General features: G+C 55.6%; 2 protein-coding genes across 6 annotated transcripts in view, besides 6 other annotated features; one reads left to right on the top strand and one right to left on the bottom strand.

Moving 5' to 3' along the window:
* The first annotated feature begins 382 nt into the window (after positions 1-382).
* On the top strand, positions 383-6,922 carry SMIM24 (small integral membrane protein 24). The gene is made up of 4 exons (NM_001136503.2): positions 383-511; positions 1,979-2,090; positions 2,430-2,489; positions 5,912-6,922. The coding sequence occupies exons 1-4, from the start codon at positions 445-447 to the stop codon at positions 6,063-6,065; spliced, it is 393 nt and encodes a 130-aa protein (NP_001129975.1). The 5' UTR covers positions 383-444; the 3' UTR covers positions 6,066-6,922.
* NFIC (nuclear factor I C) overlaps positions 11,691-20,207 on the bottom strand; it is a 109,588-nt gene continuing 101,071 nt past the window's right edge. For all 5 annotated transcript variants that reach the window (NM_205843.3, NM_001245005.2, NM_001245002.2 and 2 more), the window contains one exon: positions 11,691-18,156. In NM_205843.3, the coding sequence (NP_995315.1) occupies positions 18,139-18,156 (18 nt within the window). In that variant the 3' untranslated portion in view covers positions 11,691-18,138. The remainder of the gene's footprint in view (positions 18,157-20,207) is intronic.
* Positions 12,843-13,137: a silencer, noted in NCBI's record as "tiled region #13615; K562 Repressive DNase matched - State 18:Pol2". NCBI's record gives its function as "represses a minimal TATA promoter and a strong SV40 promoter by Sharpr-MPRA in K562 cells {active_cell/tissue: K562}" and the evidence as "EXISTENCE:reporter gene assay evidence [ECO:0000049][PMID:27701403]".
* Positions 14,715-15,215: an enhancer, noted in NCBI's record as "H3K4me1 hESC enhancer chr19:3465691-3466191 (GRCh37/hg19 assembly coordinates)". NCBI's record gives its function as "activates a minimal SCP1, AML or CMV promoter by ChIP-STARR-seq in primed H9 embryonic stem cells {active_cell/tissue: H9 hESC(primed)}" and the evidence as "EXISTENCE:reporter gene assay evidence [ECO:0000049][PMID:30033119]".
* Positions 15,216-15,716: an enhancer, noted in NCBI's record as "H3K4me1 hESC enhancer chr19:3465190-3465690 (GRCh37/hg19 assembly coordinates)". NCBI's record gives its function as "activates a minimal SCP1, AML or CMV promoter by ChIP-STARR-seq in primed H9 embryonic stem cells {active_cell/tissue: H9 hESC(primed)}" and the evidence as "EXISTENCE:reporter gene assay evidence [ECO:0000049][PMID:30033119]".
* Positions 16,646-16,846: a silencer, noted in NCBI's record as "peak3246 fragment used in MPRA reporter construct". NCBI's record gives its function as "represses an SCP1 promoter by STARR-seq MPRAs in K562 erythroleukemia cells {active_cell/tissue: K562}" and the evidence as "EXISTENCE:reporter gene assay evidence [ECO:0000049][PMID:32103011]".
* Positions 17,298-17,833: an enhancer, noted in NCBI's record as "H3K27ac-H3K4me1 hESC enhancer chr19:3463073-3463608 (GRCh37/hg19 assembly coordinates)". NCBI's record gives its function as "activates a minimal SCP1, AML or CMV promoter by ChIP-STARR-seq in naive H9 embryonic stem cells {active_cell/tissue: H9 hESC(naive)}" and the evidence as "EXISTENCE:reporter gene assay evidence [ECO:0000049][PMID:30033119]".
* Positions 17,834-18,369: an enhancer, noted in NCBI's record as "H3K27ac-H3K4me1 hESC enhancer chr19:3462537-3463072 (GRCh37/hg19 assembly coordinates)". NCBI's record gives its function as "activates a minimal SCP1, AML or CMV promoter by ChIP-STARR-seq in naive and primed H9 embryonic stem cells {active_cell/tissue: H9 hESC(naive and primed)}" and the evidence as "EXISTENCE:reporter gene assay evidence [ECO:0000049][PMID:30033119]".

The raw sequence follows: 20,207 nt of genomic DNA, 5'->3' as shown, positions 1-20,207 counted from the left end.
GGCACTGGGTGGGCGCACCCTTCTTAAGATATTCCAGTTGTATTTGTGAGTTCCCCCTGTGTCCAGAGTGGCACGGGGCCTGGGCCGGGACGGGAGGTCGCAGCCATCTCAGCTCAGCCCCTGCAGCAGGGATCACAAAGGGGTGGCCCTGAGGCTGATGGTCCCCAGGGCAGGGTGCAGGGAGGAGGGACTCCCTCAGTTAATTGTTACACAGGTCCAGAGTCTGGCCTCCCGGAGGGAGAGCGATGGGGCAGGAGCTGGCAGGGGAGGGGCAGGATGCCCAATCAGGTGGTGCCAGGGGCGGGCCCCGCTCCCAGGTCTCAGGCATCCCCCGCCCGGGGACCGCCTGTGCCTTATCACGGGGAGGCAGGGCCTCGCCCACACCAAACCTGTGGACGCCGACCCGGGACCGCCGCTGGCTGGCTGCTGGCTCACTCGACCGTCATGGAGACCCTGGGGGCCCTTCTGGTGCTGGAGTTTCTGCTCCTCTCCCCGGTGGAGGCCCAGCAGGGTAGGTGCAGGGGGGCGGGAGGGGGCGTCGCGGGATAGGGGAGTTGGTCAGGTGATCACCATCTCCCAATTTTCCATGGCGAGAAAAAGGAGAGGGGGCAGGAAGAAAAGGAAGAGTGGCTTGGAGGCCCTTCTCAACCCCCGCAGTACCGCCCGGCCTCCCTCTCGCTGGGCTCTGCCCTCCTCTGTAAGGGACCCCCCACCGCCCACCCGAGCCTTTCCCCTCTCCAGCCCTTCTGAGCACACCTGGCTGAACCCCCCGCCTTGAGCTCGGCCCCACTCTGAGCTCGGGCCTCCTTTACAAGCCCCTCCCCATCTGAGTCCCCGCCTCTTTTGTGAACCGCTCCTTCTCACTCCTCCTCCTTTATAAACCCCTCCCCGAGCCCCTCCTCCTCTGTAAGCCCCTCCCCTCTGGGCTCCTCCTTCTTTATAAGCCCCTCCCCCTGAGCCTCTGCCTCCTCTATAAGCCCCTCTCCCTCTGAGCCCCCTAGTTCACAAGCCTCTCCCCATCCGAGCCCCTTCCTCCTTTGTAAGCACCTCCTTCTCACTCTCCCTCCTTTATAAACCCCTCCCCGAGTCCCTCCTCCTCTGTAAGCCCCTCCCCTCTGAGCTCCTCCTTCTTTATAAGCCCCTCCCCCTGAGCCTCTGCCTCCTCTACAAGCCCCTCCCACTCTGAGCCCCCTAGTTCACAAGCCCCTCCCCATCTGAGCCTCTTCCTCCTCTGTAAGCCCCTCCTTCTCACTCATCCTTTATAGACCCCTCCCTGAGCCCCTCGTCTGTTGTAAGCCCCTCCCCTCTGAGCTCCTCCTTCTTTATAAGCCCCTCCTCCTGAGCCTCTGCCGCCTTTATAAGCCCCTCCCACTCTGAGACCCTCTCCCCTTATAAGCACCTCCCCTCTGAGCTCCTCCTTTATAAGCCCCTCCCTCTAAGCCTCTGCCTCCTTTTATAAGCTCCCCCCAACAGCTCCTCTGTTGTAAGCCCCAACCCCCCAGACTCTTCTTTATAAGCCCTCCCCATCTGAGCCACCTCCTCCTTCATAAGCCCCTCCCCTGAGCTTGTTCTCCTTTATAAACCCCACCCCTGAGCCACTCCTTTGTCATAAGCCCCGCCCTTCTGAGGTCCGCCTTTATAAGCCCCTCCCCCTGAGCCTCTGCCTGCATTATAAGCCCCGCCCCTTCTGAGCCCTCCTGATTTGTAAACTCCGTCCCCTCTAAGCCCCCCTTCTTTTATAAGCCCCTCCCCTCTCTGGGCCCCCAGGCTCCCTCCCACTCTGGTAAGGTACCCTCCCCCTCTCTAAACCCTCCCGACCCCCCTACGCCATCCAGGTCTCTGAAGCTCCGTCCCTTTCCAATACCCCCTCTGTCGGAGCACCCCCAGTGACCTTCTCTCTCTCCTTGCTAGGGTGGTGGGGGAAGGGGGTCTTCTGACCTTTTCTTCCTCTGAGTCGAACCTCCCCAACTTCCTGCAGCCACGGAGCATCGCCTGAAGCCGTGGCTGGTGGGCCTGGCTGCGGTAGTCGGCTTCCTGTTCATCGTCTATTTGGTCTTGCTGGCCAACCGCCTCTGGTGTTCCAAGGCCAGGTGGGTGCCCGCCCCCACCCCGCTGCCCCCACAGCCCTGCCCCCACCCCCAGCTTCCCAACCCTCTCTGGTACCCCCATCACCAGCCTCAAAGTCCGAAGGTCTCCCATTTCCCTGCTGCTCCTCCAACCTCTACTCTCAGAGCCCAGATCCCGGGCTTGCACCCGCCCGTCTCCCCAAGACAACGAGCCAGGCAGCCCAGCCCTTCCTTGCGTCCTGGGGTTCATGAGCCCCGGCTGGGAGGTTGGGACAGAGGCTGAGGCTGTCACACCGCTTCCTTCCCTTTACCGCCCCCTTTCTCCTCTCCCGCCCCCTTCCACCTTTCCCTTTATCTCTGCAGGGCTGAGGACGAGGAGGAGACCACGTTCAGAATGGAGTCCAACCTATACCAGGACCAGAGGTACTATGCGTGCGGATGCTGGGGGTCTGTGTGAACCCCTCCTCGGGGTGGGGGAATGGGTGTGCGCAGATGACCTTGCTGTCCTGAATCCTTCAAACACATTCCTGCCCTGGGATCTTCACCTTTCCTGTATCTTCTGGCAGCTCCTTCTCCTCCTCCAGTCCCTAGTCAGGGGTTTCCAGCCTGGCCACCAGCCTTCCTGACACTGTCCCCAGCCCCAAGTCTGATTCATGCTTATCACCAGTGGAGCTGTCTTAGTTGTTCACTAATTTTGAGACATTACGTGGTGCCTTCCAGTTGTGTAGGCAACTTAGCTTTTGTCCTGGCTGTGTCCTCATACCCAGCATTGGGCCTGGAACACAGGAGGTGCTTAATAAATACCTGTTGAAGAAGACTGTGGTGTAGGATTGTGTAGGTGTCTGTACAAGGCCTAGGTATGGGCGACCCACCTGGACTCAGTGCCTCCTATGGCTCTGACTGCCTCCCAACCTGAGGATTCCCACAGAGGACTCAGGGATGCAGACCTCCATCTTCCATCCACCCATCACCCACTCATCCACCCACTCACCCATTCATCCACTCACCCATTCACCCACTCACCCACCATCCATCCATCCATCATCCACTCATCCACCCACTCACCCATTCACCCACTCACCCATCCACCCACTCACCCATTCACCCACTCACCCATCCATCCATCACCCACCATCCATCCATCACCCACCATCCATCCATCCATCACCCACCCATCCACCCACTCACCCATCCACCCACTCACCCATTCACCCACTCACCTATCCACCCACTCACCCATCCACCCACTCACCCATCCATCACCCATTCACCCACTCACCCATCCACCCACTCACCCATCTACCCACTCACCCATCCATCCATCACCCACCATCCATCCATCCATCATCCATCCATCCATCATCCATTCATCACCCATCTGTTCACTCACCCAGCTGCCCACCCACCCATCTATTCACCTACCACTTATCCACCCACTCACCCATCCATTCATCACCCCCCATCCATTCATCACCCATCCACCCATCACCTACCCATCCACCCACCCACCATCCATCCACCCACCATCTGTCTATCATCCATCCATCCATCCATCCATCCATCCATCCATCCACTCACCCATCCCCCAACCCATCCATTCACCAACCCGTCCACCCACTCACCCATCCATTCATCACTCATCCATCCATCACCCACCCCCATCCATTCATCACCTACCCATCCACCCACCCACCATCCATCCACCGACCATCCATGATCCATCCATCCATCCATCCATCCATCCATCCATCACCCATCTATTCACTCACCCACCCCCCGACCTATCCATTCACCAATCCATCCACCCACTCACCCATCCACCCACCCACTCATCTGTTCACACACCCATCCATCTACCCACCCATCTATCCATCAGCCATCCATTCACCATCCATCCACCCACCCATCTATTCATCCACCCATCAATCCATCATCCATCCACCCACCCACCCATCCACCCATCCATCCATCCATCCATCCATCCATCACCTATCCATCCATCACCCATCTATTCACTCATTCATCCACCCACACAGCCATCCATCCACCTACCCATTTATCCATCCATCCATCCTTCCATCCATCCATCCATCCATCCATCCAGGGCTGGGGGCTCTGTCTTGGGCAAAGGCTTGGGGACAGGAGTAGGAGAGTGGGAGCTGGGAGGTGACCAGCCTGGCTGGGAGAGTCTCAGCTGAGTCCAAGATGTGCCTGAGGGAGAGGACCTGAGTGGTGGCTTTGTCTAAGACCTGGCTCAGCCCCAGTAAAATATGATTCCTACTCCCAGGATGTACTGGGGGATCTGGATCCCACCTGTGCACCTGTACCTGTAGCTTCCTTTCTGCCTTGTTCAATCCTCCATCCATCCACCCAACCATCCACTTGTACATCCATCTATCAGTCTGCCCGTGCAGTCCTCACCCTCCAACCACCCATCCATCAGTCCACCTACCCATTAGCCCATTGATCTGTCCACTCACTGATACACGCACCCACCCACCTATGCGTCCATCGAACTATGCAGTCTTCACTCTCCAACTGTCCATCCATCAGTCTATCTATCCATTAGCTCATTGATCCATCCACCCACCTACAGTCTCATTCATCCTCCATCTACCTATCCATTGGTATGTCATTCTCTTCTTCCTCCAATTCATCCATTCATCTACTTATTAATCTGTCCCTCCCTCCATGCAACCATCAATTCACCCAACTGCTTATCTACTCATCCATCCATCCACCTATACATTCATTCATTGATCTATACATCCATCTATACTCCCATCCACCCATTCTCCATTCTGCATACCCCCATCCACTGATCCATCAGTCTCTCCTTCCTGCAATGTATTCATTTATCTTCCAATTCATTTATTCAACCTCCATGCAGCAGTCCATTCATGTAACTACTTATCTACTCATCCATCCACCCACCCATCCATCCATTCATCCACCAACCCATTCATTCATCCATCCACCCATCCATCTATCATCCTTCCATCCACCATCCATCAATCACCCAGCCATCATCCGCCCACCCACACACTCACTCATCCATTCATTCGCCAACTCAGTCACCCATCTGTTCACCCACCCATTCATTAATTCATCCACCCACTCATCCATCCATTCATCCACCCATTCACTTATCCACCCACCCACCCATCAATTCACCCACCATCCATCCATCACCTATCCACCTACCATCCGTCCACCCACTCAACTATCCACTCACCCATCCACCCACCCACCCATTCATCTGTCTACTCATCCATTCATCATCCATCTATCCACCCACCCACCCATCCATCCATCCTTCCAACCACTCACCCACCTAGCCATCCACCCGTTCATCCAGTCATCCATACCCCCATCCATCATCCATCCACCCACCCACTATCCACCCACCTGTCCACTCATCTACCCATCTATTCCCTAACTTCTTTACACACCTACCCACCTATCCATCCATCCATGGAGCAGTTGAGTCTTAGTTGCAATGATGATATGCAGTGTGAACCTCCATATCATCTGTCCAGCCACTGCACCCAGCCTCAAAAGCAGCCTCCTTTGCCAGGAGTAAACTGAGTCCCAAGAGGCAACAGGGAGCCTTTGGCTTATGTCCATCCATCCATCCACCCATCCATCCCTCCATGGAGCAATTGAGTCTTAGTTGCTGTCTTTGTGAAATGGAAATCGTGAGGCCGCGTAGTTAGGGTTATTTTGAAGATTCACTGAGATACCGCTTGTAAAATACTCATCACATGGGCTGGCTCAAGTGAGTGGCCATTAAATAGGAGTGTCTCTGTTTCTTATTATGGTTTGGGGCCTTTGTATCCCTACAGTGAAGACAAGAGAGAGAAGAAAGAGGCCAAGGAGAAAGAAGAGAAGAGGAAGAAGGAGAAAAAGACAGCAAAGGAAGGAGAGAGCAACTTGGGACTGGATCTGGAGGAAAAAGAGCCCGGAGACCATGAGAGAGCAAAGAGCACAGTCATGTGAAGATTCCTGGCTGCCTCTTCCAGGCAGTCCCCCAGAGATGCCTCTTCTGCCCCCTAAAAGCAGTGCCCTGGACTTGAAGCCCGTGAAATGACTCCATCTGGGATTCAGAATACAGTGTTCTCAAGTGAAGAAGGCTTGGAACCCACCCCACCTCCCTCATTGGGGGCTCTCTGGGCAAACATGGTTTTCATGCACCCCTCTTCCTGAGCTTGGTCCCTGCCTGGTGATTCTTCTTATACTCGGAGAGCATCCCTGGTTGAGGAGACACCCGCAATCCTCCACGATCTCATGGCTCCACCTGCTTCTCCCCACTGCCTGATTTCTTTTCTCTCTGCCTGATGTCTACTGAACAGAACTTCCCCTCTCCCATGCACCCACTGCCAGCTGAGAGCTGCTTCCCAATGGCCTGCATTAAAGCATTCGTAACAGCCCTTTGGAAGGGCTCCTGTCATCTCTTGGGACTCAGTTTACCTCTGGGGAAGGAGGCTGCTTTTGGGGCTGCGGGCGATGGCTGGGCGGATGATATGGAGGCTCAGGGTGCACAGGTGCCCAGACGCCCTGAGCAGATTAAACACTCCCCCGGCAATCTGGTTTTTTGCTGTCCTGAGCCCTGGACTTTGAGCCCTGAGCGCCGTCTCCAAGCAAATCTTTGCTCCTTCCCCCACCTCACTTTGTTTTGGGGCACGTGACTTTTTTCCTGGGAGCTGTATCTTGGAGGGTGGGGGTGCCCCAGGGCCCTGCAATATCTTGGAAAGGGACTAGCACTTCCTTTTCCCAGTTTCTGTTCTCCTGCTTCCCCTCACCTTCTCCAGGCCCTGGACCTTACCCTGAACAATGACCATTTCTCTTTTATTTGAGATGGAGTCTCGCTCTGTCACCCAGGCTGGAATGCAATGCTGTGATCTTGGTTCACTGCAGCCTCTGCCTTCCAGGTTCAATCAGTTCTCCAGCCTCAGCCTGGCCACAATGACCATTTCTTAATGAGGACCTTTTTCTTTTCTTTTTTTTTCTTTAGACAAAGTCTCACTCTGTCGCCCAGGCTGGAGTGCAGTGGTGCAATCACTCTGTCACCCAGGCTGGAGTGCAGTGGTGCAATCTCTGCCTCCTGGGTTCAAGTGATTCTCCTGCCTCAGCCTCCCGAGTAGCTGGGATTACAGGCATGCACCACCATGCCTGGCTAATTTTTGCATTTTTAGTAGAGACGGGGTTTCACCATGTTGGCCAGGCTGGTCTCGAACTCCTGACCTCAGTTGATCCGCCTGCCTAGGCCTCCCAAAGTGCTGGGATTACAGGTGTGAGTCCCTGCTCCTGGCCCTTTTCTTTTCTTCTTTTCTTTCTTTCTTTCTTTCTCTTTTTTTCTTTTTTCTTTTTTTTTTTTTTTGAGATGGAGTTTTGCTCTTGTTGCCCAGGCTGGAGTGCAAGGGCCCGATATTGGCTCACCGCAACCTCCACCTTCCAGTTCAAGCGATTCTCCTGCCTCAGCCTCCCGAGTAGCTGGGATTACAGGCACCCACCACCACTTCCGGCTAATTTTTTGGGTATTTTTTAGTAGAGATGGCGTTTCACCGTATTAGCCAGGATGGTTATTATTTTTTGAGACAAGGTCTCACTCTGTTTCCCAGGCTGGAGTGCAGGGGGCAGGACTTCTCCACTAGGGGGCGTTTGGAAATCTAAAAAAAAATTAAATATTTTGTAGAGACAGGGTCTTGCTCTATTGCCCAGGCTGGAGTGCAGTGATTCCATCATAGCTCATTGCAGCCTTGACCTCCCGGGCTCAAGCGGTCCTGCTGCCTCAGCCTCCTGAGCAGCTGGGACCACAGGCACATATCACCACACTCAGCTATTTTTAAAATTTTATTTTTGAGGTGGAGTCTCCCTCTGTCGCCCAGGCTGGAGTGCAGTGGCACGATCCCACCTGACTGCAATCTCCACCTCCCAGGTTCAAGCAATTCTCATGCCTCAGCCTCCTGAGTAGCTGGGATTACAGGCGCCTGCCACCACACCTGGCTAATTTATACGTTCTTAGTAGAGACGGGGTTTCGCCGTGTTGCCCAGGCTGGTCTCGAACTCCCAGGCTCAAGCAATCCACCCTCCTTGGCCTCCAAAAGTGCTGGGATTAGAGTTGTGAGCCACCGTGCCCAGCTAATTTTATGTTTATTTTTTGATAGAGCTAGGGTCTCGCTGTATTACCCAGGCTGGTCTCTAACTCCTGACCTCAAGCAATCCTCCCATCTCTGGTATCCCAAATTGCTGGGATTACAGGCATGAGCCACTGCACTCGGCCGCATTTGGAATTTTTTTGCGGGGGCATTTTGGGTTGTCACAAGCCTTCCCCCGTTTTAGGGTGGGGAGTCAGGGGTGACCAACCCAACAGCCTGCATTACTGGGACAGCCCTCCCCTCCCAGCCAGGAATCTCATCACCCAGGGGCCAAGGGCTGGACACGACCGAGGCTTTCCGTAAGATCCAAGGGGAGGCTAAGTTTCCACCGCTGAGTTTCCACCCCAGCCCTGGCTGATCCCCTGACTCCAGCTGAGACCCCCTGACCTTGGCTCAACCCCTGCTCTACAAGAAGCCTCCTCTGGCCTGACTGGAGCCCCCGTTTCCCGCTGCAGAGAGGAACTGGGATGGGGGAGGTTGGGGGGGTGTCCCCGGCCTGCCCACAAGGGGGCGCCAAAATCTCGCTGCTGAGGGTGAGTGGGGGCGACCCAAGTTGGGAGTGGGACGTGGGAAGGGGCCTCGGACCCCCCCATCCTCGGTGTCCTCGGTGCCTGTCACCAGGAAGCAGCGTGGGGTCGTGTCAGCGAGGACGCACTGTGCCTGCTGCCCTGTCAATGCACCTTACCTCGCTTCTTTGTGCCTCAGTTTCCCCATTTGCAAAAAAGGATCGTCCCCGCCTTGTGGTCTTGTGGGTAGGATGGAAGGAGCCCATGGTGCAAAGAGAGTTTTTCTGGCCCAACCTGGGGTCTTTTGGGGTTTTGGAGTTGGGGACAGGATGGAGGGCCCCATCTCAGCCCCCCCAAGAACTAGCCTTACTCTTTTTTTGTTTTTGTTTTTTTGAGACAGGGTCTTGCTCTGTCGCCCAGGCTGGAGTGCAGTGGCGTGATCTTGGCTCACTGCAGCCTCTACCTATCAGGCTCGAGGGATCTTCCCACCTCTGCCTCCCAAGTAGCTAGGACTACAGGAATGCACTACCATGCCTGGCTATTTTTTTTTTTTTTTTTTTGAGATAGGGTCTTGCTCCATTGCCCAGGCTGGAGTGCAGTGGTGCGGTCTTTACCTCCCGGGTTCAAGCAATTCTCCCACCTCAGCTTCCTGAGTAGCTGGGATTACAGGGGCGCACCACCACACCCGGCTAATTTTTGTATTTTTAGTAGAGACAGGGTTTCACCATGTTGTCCAGGCTGGTCTCAAACTCCTGACCTCAAGTGATCCTCCCACCTCTCAAAGTGCTGGGACTGCAGGCATGAGCCACTGCACCCAGCCCCTTTCACACTCCTGATTCTCCCGGGCCCCAGCCTCCCTCCCCTCTGACCTCAGTGTGGGAGGGGCCCCCAGTCTGGAGGGGACAGAGCTGGACACGGTCATGCCCCTGAATGGTCAGGGCTGGGTCAGGAGTGATTGGGGGCAGAAGCTCTGCTGGGGCAGGTGAGGAAGGCTTCCTGGCCGAGGGTGTATTGAAACCATGTTGGGGCCCATCCTTCTGCCCCCAGCCCTCCATGGCTCCCACCTCCTTCAGGGGAAAAGTCAACATTTTCCCTGTGGCCCACAAGGCCCTGAATGACCTGCCCCGTCCCTTCCCTGCCCTCCAGTCCTCCCTCCATCCCTCTCCTCACTCTGCTCCAGCCACACAGGCCTCCTCACTGTTCCTCCAATGAAGCAGGCATGGTCCCGCCCTCGGGCCTTTGCAGGAGCTGTGACTTCTGCCAGAATTTCAGGACGCTCCTTCCCTCCCTCCCTCCAGATCTGTCTAGATGGGACCACTCCCCGCCCTTCCTCTGTTCATTGCCCTACTCATCACTTACCTCCTCTGACATCTTTTACTTCTATTTTATCGACTGATTGATTGGAGACAGGGTCTTGCTCTGTTGCACTCCAGGCTGGACAGCAATGGTGCAATCACAGCTCACTGCAGCCTCAACCTCCAGGGATCAAACAATCCTCCTATCTCAGCCTCCTGAGACTACAGGTGTGTCACCACGCGCAGCTAACTTTTTAAGTGTATCTGTAGAGATGGGTTCTATGTTGCCCAGGCTGGTCCTGAACTCTTTGACTCAAGCGATCCTCCTGCCTTGGCCTCCCAAATTGCTGGGATTACAGGTGTGAGTCGCTGCACCCGGCCACTTCTACTTGTTGTTCACTGTTCTTCCTGACCTGGAGGAAGCTGTAGGCTCCAAGACGGGATCTGAATTTGAGTGTTTTGTTCACTGCTGGGTCCTGGGGCTTGGTACTCAGGAGATGCTCAGGAAGTCTTTGCTCAATGACTGGGAGTTTGCCAGGTAGCAAGAGAAGCTATTTTGTGCATTTATTGAGCACCGACTGTGTGCCAGGCTTGGATTCCTCCAAGGCACAAGGGAAGGGATGGAATCCCCTGTGCCTGGCACAGAGTGGGTGCTCCGTAGATGCCTCATGGAATTCACCGATAGCTCTGAGACTGCTGGGGGAGGGAACCAGGCTGGAGAAAGGTGGGAAGACTTCCTGGTGGAAGAGGACACCAGTGTGAAAGGTCTGCACAGATGGGGAGGCAGGAATGAGCAAAGGCTAAGGGGTGTGAAACAGCCCATCCTACAAAGGGGAAGAGGTTACAGCCTCCAGGAGCGTTGCTGGGACAGGTCTGGCCTCAGAAGCTCATTCAAAGCCACCATCTAAAGTGGGTCTCCCCCACCCCCAGGCACTGTGGATCAGTCTCTGGGGTGGGGCCGTCCTGGGCACTGCAGGGTGCTGAGCGGCGTCCCTGGCCTCTACCCACTCCATGCCAGGAGCACTTCCCAGTCGTGACAACCGCGGATGTCTGAGACATCACCCAGTGTCCTCTGGGGGGCAGGATCGCCCTTGGGTGAGACTCCCTGGGTTAGGGGATTTCATGGACCCCCCAGTAGACTGCGTCCCATGATCCTCCACCCTGCTGAGGTCCTAGGAGGCTGCACACATTGGAATCCCACCCTGAGTGGGGAGGGGGCGAGGAGGAGAATCCTAGGAGCTGCAGGTCTCCCTGGTTTCTGTCATCCACCCCATCGGGAGCTTACCCTGGTGTCTACTGTGAGCAGGGAGCAAATCTGATTTTTTTCCCCTCCAAACAATCAAAGCAGGTCTCTCCGTGCCAGGCACTGTGGATGTCTTGTGTGGATGAATCTTGGTTCTGGGCACTGCAGAATGCTGAGCAGTGTCTCTGGCTTCCACCCACTCCACGCCAGGAGCATCCCCCAGTCGTGGCAACCACAAATGTCCCCAGATATTGTCTAATGCCCCCAGGGGACACTTGATCTGAAGCTTTCAGAATCCCAGCCTGCCCATCCACGGGGCTTGGGGGTTCCCCCCAGCTCCCTGCAGCCTCTGCCCCTCACTTTTCCAAAGGACACAGAGCAACCCACATGGGACATGGAAAAGAGGACCCGGGACAGCCAGAAAGAGTCGAAGCATAGCTTGTTTAATTTTTATACATTTTTTTCTTTTTTCTTTTTTTTTTGTTTGTCTTTTATTGAATCTTTTATGGAATCCCCCTTTTTTCATTTTCATTTTTTTTTTGCATAGGGAACAAATAAACAAAATAATGACAGCCAGAGTCACTTTCTGTAAATGGTACTTAGGTAGGCGCGTCCGCGAAAACCAAAATGACTGCGTAATATACAAGGTTATGATTGGAGTATGATGTGAGGGGCGGGGTGGGGTGGGGGGAGAGCCGGCGGGTCTGCCCAGGTGTCCCCTTGTCCCCCTCCTGTCCTCGCTGTCAAGAGGAGAAGTAGGAGGAGGAGGGGAGGGTGGGGGACCTGCTGGAACCTTCTCCGGATTGGGTTCATGAGCATTTTTGTGGGTGTGTATGTGTGTGTTATCCAGTGTGCGGTAAGCAGAAAGCTAGAAGGAGAGTAAACTATCCTGGTGATATCAGTAAAATACAAAAAGGAAACAACAACAAAAAAATCTCAAAGGGAAAAGGAAAGGAAAAGCAACACCACCCAAAGAGTAAAGGGGAGAAAAAAGAAAGAAAAAAAAAACCCAAAGGAAAATGTTTTGTTTTGTCCCTCCCTCCTCCCAGCTGCCCCCCCACCCCCCACTGTATGCCCTGCCCCATCCTGTCCCCCTGGAGCCCTTGCTTGTTCTTTCTCTGTGTGAGAATGCTCAGGGCTGGGTGGGCAGGAAGCTGGGGGCACAGGCTGGGACCCCAGGACTTGAGGGGGCTTTGGTTTTGGGGGGGCCTGGCTGGGACCCAAGATGAGAGGATGGGGTGTGGATGCAGTTGAGGGGCCGGGGCAGCCTGTGTCCCCTTTTTGGAGGGCTCTCTTCCAGCCAGGAGATGTGCGTGGAAGGCTGGGGGGTGGTGGCTTGGGGGTGCATGACTTCCCCTCCGGGGCCCATATTCCTATTGGATCCCCTTCCTCCTTCCTGTCTCAGGTGTGAGCAAAGCCTTGGGGAGGGGGCTGCCATGGACGGGGGGGTGGGGCAGGAGAATCCCAAAGCCACACCAGCAGACATGTGAGGCACTGCTTGGGAAAAGTCTGTTTTGGTATCACTGGCAACAAGTCCTGCTGGTACTGCTTTGGGTCCGCCTCCTCACCTTGCCCTGCCGGGAGGTCAAGGGTGGTGGACTGACCCCACACTCTGTACCATTGAGCAATGGATGGGCAGCGGTGTCATTTTGAAGGTGAGACTCTCAGGAAGTGTCTGACGTGGCAGAAATGGGGCAAGATGGGAGGATGCGGAGGAAGCTGGATTGAGAGATGTATGTCCCAGCGCCCTCCAAAGAGAAAGTAAAATCCGGGGTCTCAGAGAGAGAATCCAGACCAAGATACAAGGTAGCCACTATATATTCTGTATTATGAGAAACAAATTCCAAAATTATATATATATATATATATATATATATATATGTATAGTATAGCCCTACACTGGAGGTCAAAGTACCATTGGGGAGGCCAGAGTGGGTAGGGGGGCTGCTTGCTGTCTCTTCTGGAGGGCTGGACAGTTGCTCCTGGCTCCAGAACCTGTCTTGCAAGGGACAGTGGGGTGCAGCCAAGTCTGTCTGTGCCTGGAATGCTGCTGTCTCTCAAGGTCCTGGGGCAGGGAAGGTGGAATTGTCTGCTGCCTGGGGACCTGCAGGGGGACCCAGGTCTGGCCCCTAAGCGGCTCTCCCAACCGAGTCCCCTTTGGCATTCCTTTGGGATCTGATTGTCCAGCCCAGGGTGGGGCCCTGGGGTCAGAACCTGGGTTCCAGACCTGGGCATGAAGGACTCCAGATCCTCCTCTCCCCAGTCAAATAGGGCTGGGTCTTCCTACTCCTCCATGCCCCATCTCCACCCGGGTCATTGTCAGGTGCCCCCACGGAATGGGGACAATTTGCATATATTTGGGAGGCCTCCCTATTCTTTCCCACAGCATGGGCAGACCCCAGAATGAGACTGGGGTGGGGGGGGGGGCCTGGCATAGGTGTGGTGTCCATAGCAGGGGTGGGTGATGGGGGCTTCCAGAGGGGGGTGGAACAAGATTTGAGAAGATGTCAGTTTCATACATGTTAAAAAAACAAAAACAAAAAACCAACACTCCCTCCTCCACCCAGGGATGACGGCACCCCCTTTTGTGAACCCAAACTGCAGAGATGGGCACGGAATCCTGCTTCCTGGTGTTTTTGTCTTACTCTGTCTGCAGCAAGGCGCCTGGGAATTTTGCCCTACAGGGACCCTGTAGCTTTTCCAAGAAACAGGGAGGCGGGGAGAACTAAACCATCCACAACATGCTGCCTGGTATGGGCTTTTGCCTGCTGTACTCAGCCAAGGTGCCAAGTGAGCCAAGGAGGCAAGCTCGGGGTGAGAAGGGTGGCGTCCAGCCCAGGACTCTGGGCCCCCGGGTGTGGGCTGTGCAGGGACGCGATGGTCCCAATAGTGATGGGGCCACCCACTCCCTTTGCCTCCGGTTGCTCCTAGTTCCTTGGCAAGACAGATTTGCTCAGGAGTGGGGCAGAAAAAAAAAAAAAGCTAGAAATCAGCTACATGAATGCTGTGCACAGCCAGCCCGGGCTCTCTGGCCAATGCATATTACTTAAGGGCAATGTCGTGGCCAGCTGTGGTGGTCTGGGCTCTCCCTCTGTATCGCCTGGGGAGGCTGCTGAGGTGACTTTTTGGAAGAAAACACGGGATGAGTGTATGATGGTGGCTGTGGAGACCACCCAAAATCCCGGGGTTGGGGGCAATAGTGAATGAATGGGACCATCTGCGTGGGTCCCTACACGAGATGCTTGGAGGGGCTGGAGGTGGTGAGGGCTGCAGGAATGGCCTAAGGTTGGAGAATCCCAGCCCTGGGTCCTCCCTGCCTGGCTGCCCCACTAACCATCTGGCTATTGTCTTAGCTTTGGTCAAGTAAAAAGCAAAGGAAGCTGGAGTTAAAAACAAAAAGAAAAGAAAAAAAAAAAGAACAAAAGAAAATAAAATCAAGGACAAGACAACAGCATGCTCAGCCACCGGACCACAGCCTGTGACTCGGTGCCACCTGGCTGTCCCTGTGCCCTGCCGGACCCTCGGCTGGGCCTCCAATGGCTGAGCCAGGCCCATGGGTACAGACAGACAGACAGATATTGCATATATCAGGTTTTGTTTTTGTTTCATACAGGATACCCTTCATATTCACAGCTGGAAGACAGAGACAGGGGATGGGGGACAAAGGAGAAGGTGGGAGAGAATGCCACCTGGGGTGGTCTCTGGATAGGGGAAAAGAGGTCCTTTGGCAAGAAGGGTGGGGATGCACGGGGCAGGGGAGAGGGGGTGCCTCTGAGGTGGGTGTGGAACAGCATTTGACCCTGAGCCAGGGGTATGCCAGCCTGCATGAAAAGTGGGGAGCGGGGAGTCTGGCTGCGGGTGGAGTGGCCACCCCATGGTTGGAGGACAGCCTGCAGTGGGTCGGTGAATGGTGTCTGGGGGCCGGCCCGTGGCCTAGGGACCAATCAGAGAGGAGAGCCCTTTCCCAGGGCCAAGATGGGCCCCGGAGGTCTGTCCTCTGGGCAAGGGATTCAGAAATGACCCCTCTGGGTACCCAAGAGCAGGGTTGGGGGTGGTAGAGGCTGAGCACCAGGGGGCACCCCTGAATACAGCAGGAGGGGAGACAGGACCAAGGACAGCCAGGGGCTGGGTAGACCTGGGGGCAATTGTTTTCAGTGGCTTGATTTTTAGCGTGGTTTTTCTTCCTTTTTTTTTTTTTTTTTTTTTTTTAGATTCTCACTTTCTTATTTTTTATTTTATTTTTTTTACAAATAGAAATACATCCCTTTTCAATTTTTATTTTTTATTTCATGTCACTGTTTTGTCTTTTTTTTTTTAAACTACACGAGCAGAACATGCAGCTATGTGTGTGCGCTGATATTGTTTAAAGGTAATACTTATTCTCGGAAGGCAAGGCACATCTTGTGGTAGAAAATTTCGTGCAAATTAGGAAACATGGAATTTTTTTAAAGGTTTTTCTTGTATCTTTTTTTTTTTTTTTTTTTTTTTAAAGAGGAAGTGGGGGGTGGAGGGGGCGAGGAACAGGGAGATAGAGCCAGGGATAGTCTGCCATGCATGTGTGTCAGCGCCGCCAGCTGACCTCGGGAGCCAGGTCGCAGGAGTCCTTGACTAAGCACCATGCAAAGTTAGGTAAAGAGTTGGTTCTCGTCGCGCCCTGACCCCTCTGGAGCCCGGCTGGCCTCCCTCCCCCACTCCACGACCCCCACCCTGGCTGAGAAGCTTCCGGACACCCCAATGGCACAACCCGACCACCCCCTCCCCCGCCCGCCCTCCCGGAGAGCGGCCCACGCTTTGATCCCCAAGGGCCACCGGGGGAGCGGGCCCCGAGGACAGACGGACGGAGGGACCAAGGGCTCGAGGCCAGAGGATGGCGAACCTCTCTTGGGGGTGATGGGGGAGGGTCCTGGGTCTTTCTCTTTAGGAGCGAGCGGGTTCGCCAAGCTCCTGAGGCTAGTTTGGGAGGAGAGTCTGGTTTTCGGGGGCAGGGGGGTGAGGCTAGGAGCAGGTGAGACCCGGAGACCTGCCCTGGCTTTGGCCTGGGTCGGGGGAGGGGGCAGTGGTGGGGGGAGTTTTTCCCTAGGCATGGAGGTCAGTTGGGGCTGGGCTGGGTGGGCCGGGGAGGGGTCCTTGTGTTTGAGCTCGGTGGCCCTAAAACACCTAACACCCCCTCCCAGGCCTCCCCTAAAGATGGCGATCCTGGGGTGGGGGTGGAGGTGTGGATAGGGCCAGGGAGCCGGGGTGGGGGGGCACCTGGCGTCCCCAGCTTAGTGTTTTTGGAGCGGCTCAACGGAAAAACGCTTAGCAGATGGGAGGCCCCCTACACGGCTGCGGGGGGCCCCAAGGTGCGACGCCGAACCCCCCGAAAACCCTCCCCGTTCCGAGCGGGGACCGCTGGCGTCGGCCTCCTCTCTCCTCTGGGGGCCCAGCCGTGATGCACGTCCCGCAGCTGGGCCCCGCGTCGGGGTAGGCGATGAAAGTGCAAACGGCGGTCCCCCTTCGCTGGGAGGCACCAGGGAGGGGGGTCGCTCCAGAATGTAAGGCACTGGCAGCGGAGGCGTGGGGGGCGCACCGGCTTCCCCAGAGCCCACCCCCGCGCCCCGGCAGGGCAGGACGCTTGCGAAGTGACGCCCAGCTCTGCCCCTCGGGCCACGCAGGGGCCCCATCTCTCTAGCTCTGGGGGGGCACGGCGATGAGGGTTGACTGGAGGGGCTGGTGGAGAGGCTGGAGGGGAGGGGGAGGAGGCCCGCGGCCATTCCGTGTCCCAGCTGGACAAAGGGGGGGGCGGGTGGTGGTAATCAGGCACTTAAACCACTCGCTCTCACCTCCCACCGCCAGGGGCTGACGGGGGCGCTCCAGACGGGCACCCCCAACTCGGGGAGCTCTGGGTGTCCGGGCTCCCCCATCCCCTTCCTCGGAAAGTGCATTTCTTACAGTGTGTGCAATGTGGGTCCCTCCCTTTGGGGGTGTGAGCCGGGCGAGGTGGGGGGGCCTCCTATGCCGGGGGTGGGGGGTGGAGGGGCCGGGGCCAATTGCATAGAGACTTCTCCTCCCAAACGGGCGGGCGCGAGGGCTGAAAGAGTCCCCAGCGAGACAGCGAGTCGGCCGGCGCTTTGGGAGGGGCTTGTGGGGAGGCCCCGCGGCAGGCAGGGCCCCCTCGAGGGGCAGCAGGTGCCTGGGCCTCACTTCCTCCCCTGGCCAGGGCTCGCAAGCGCCACGCACCCCCGCGACACCACTCGCCTGCCCCACCCTGCCCGCCTCTGCGGTCTCCGCTGCCCGGCCGGGGTCCGCTGTGTCTCCCTTTCCCCCCAGTGGCTGCGTCCTCGGTGGGGGCTGAGGGGCCGGTCCGTGTCCGGCAGAGGCGCGGGGGCCCGGGGAGAGGTGGCCTTGCTGGGTGTCGCGCCTGTCGGCCCTGGGCACAGGCTCCAGGCTGTGCTCACCTGGTCTCCGGACAGAGCCAGGGCCTCCGGGGCGCGGGCGGGCGGCCGGCGTCTGTCCTTCCCGAGCAGCAGGCGGAGAGGAGATGAATAACTTAGGAAGACGCCCTGTCCCGGGTCTCCCGTGGGGGTGGCGGGGCCTGGCCCTCCAGTCCTGCGGCCTTGGCGTCCCGAGAGTTGGAAACGTTGCGTCTTTACCTTTTGTCTTCTTGCTTGGGTGGGTTTTTATTTCTTCTTCTTCTTCTTCTGCCTTTGTTTTTTCTTTTCCTCCTGAGTGTGTGCGTCTATGTGTTTTGTCTTTTTGGCCGGGCTGGGAGTCGGCAGGGGTGTTCTTGTTCACTCTAATTTTCCACCGAAAACGTGGGCCGGGGGCCGGCTGTGCTGCCCCCTGGGATTCCTGGGACGATGGAGAAGGGGCGAGGGAAGAAGACCTTTGCTATCCCAGATACCAGGACTGAGTGGCCCAGTGGCGACAGAAAGAGGGAGAGAGAAAAAGGGAGAGAAGTCGAGGGGTCAGACTCTGCTGCAGACATGGTTTACCTCTTCCCACGCTCACCCCCCACCTCCTGCAACCCTGTGACCTCAGTTTCCCCATCCCAGGCTCTAACAACCTGCTGGGTGACCCATGGCAAGTGACTTTGTCTCTGAGGGAGGCTTCCAGACACAGTACAGGATGCCCAGTGAAACTGGAGTTCTGGTTAACACAGAATTCTTTTAGTATAAGTCTAGCCCACGCAACATTGGGGATATACTTACACACCACACACAAAAGATCCATTTATCTGGAACTGTATTTTATATTTTATTTATTATTTTATTTTTTGAGATGGAGTTTCGCTCTTGTTGCCCAGGCTGGAGTGCAATGGCGTGATATTGGCTCACTACAACCTCTGCCTCCTGGGTTCAAGCAATTCTCCTACCTCAGCCTCCCGAGTAGCTGGGATTACAGGCGTCCACCGCCACACCTGGATAATTTTTGTATTTTTAGTAGAGATGGGGTTTCACCATGTTGGCCAGGCTGGTCTCAAACGCCTGACCTCAAGTGATCCACCTTCCTCGGCCTCCCAAAGTGCTGGAATTACAGGTGTGAGCCAGCACTCCCAGTCTGGAACTCAATCTTACTTTATTATATTATATTATTTATTTATTTATTGAGACAGAGTCTCGCTCTGTTGCCAGGCTGGAGTGCAGTGGCATGATCTCGGCTCATTGCAACCTCTGCCTCCCAGGTTCAAGTGATTCTCCTGCCTCAGCCTCCCGAGTAGCTGGGATTACAGGCGCATGCCACCACACTCAGCTAATTTTTATATTTTTAGTAGAGACAGGGTTTCACCATGTTGGCCAGGATGGTCTCACTCTCTTGACCTCGTGATCCGCCCGCCTCGGCCTCCCAAAGTGCTGGGATTACAGGCGTGAGCCACTCTGCCTGGCCTTTATTTTATATTTTAAAAATTATTTTCTTCTCTATTTATTATTTATTTATGAGACAGAGTCTTGCTCTGTTGCCCAGGCTGGAATGCAGTGGTGTGATCTTGGCTCTCTACAACCTCCGCTTCCTGGGTTCAAGTGATCCTTGTGCCTTAGCCTCCCAAGTAGCTGGGATTACAGGCCCGCCCCACCACACCCAGCTAATTTTTGTATTCTTAGTAGAGACCGGGTTTCGCCATGTTGGCCGGGCTGGTCTTGAATTCCTGGCCTCAAGTGATCCGCCCACCTTGGCCTCCCAAAGTGCTGGGATTACAGGCGTGAGCCACTGTGGCCAGCCAATTTATTATTTTATTTTGAGACAGGGTCTTGCTCCGTTGCCCAGGCTGGAGTGCAGTGGTGCCATCATAGCTCACTGCAGCCTCCATCTCCTGGGCTCAAGTGATCCTCCCACCTCAGCCTCCCGAGTAGCTGGGACCACAGGTATGTTCCACCACATCTGACTAGTTTTTTTTTTTTTTTTGTAGAGGTGGGGTTTCGCCATGTAGACCAGGCTGGCCTTGAACTCCTTCCTCCCAAAGTGCTAGGATTACAGACATGAGCCACCACATCAGCTGCCTTGTTCACTTTATAAAGAGGTTTTTTGTTGATTTTTTGAGACAGCGTCACGCTCTTGTCACCAGGCTGGAGTGCAGTGGCACGATCTTGGCTCACTGCAACCTCTGCCTCCCGGGTTCAAGTGATTTTCTTGCCTCAGCCTCCCGAGTAGCTAGGATTACACGCATGCGCCATCACACCCAGCTAATTTTTGTATTTTTGGTAGAAACGGGGTTTCTCCATGTTGGCCAGGCTGGTCTCAAACTCCTGACCTCAGCTTATTCGTTTGCTTTGGCCTCCCAAAGTGCTGGGATTATAGGCATGAGCCACTGCACATGGCCTTGAGAATGTTTTTAAAAAGTAAACAAGAGGCTGGGCTCGGTGGCTCATGCCTGTAATCCCAGTACTTTGGGAGACCAAGGTGGGTGGATCACCTGAGGTCAGGGGTTCGAGACCAGCCTGGCCAACATGGTGAAACCCTGT

The sequence above is a fragment of the Homo sapiens genome, chromosome 19 (genome assembly GCF_000001405.40).
Source record: "Homo sapiens chromosome 19, GRCh38.p14 Primary Assembly".
NCBI lineage: Eukaryota > Metazoa > Chordata > Mammalia > Primates > Hominidae > Homo > Homo sapiens.
This window is presented reverse-complemented; position numbering and strand designations above follow the sequence as displayed.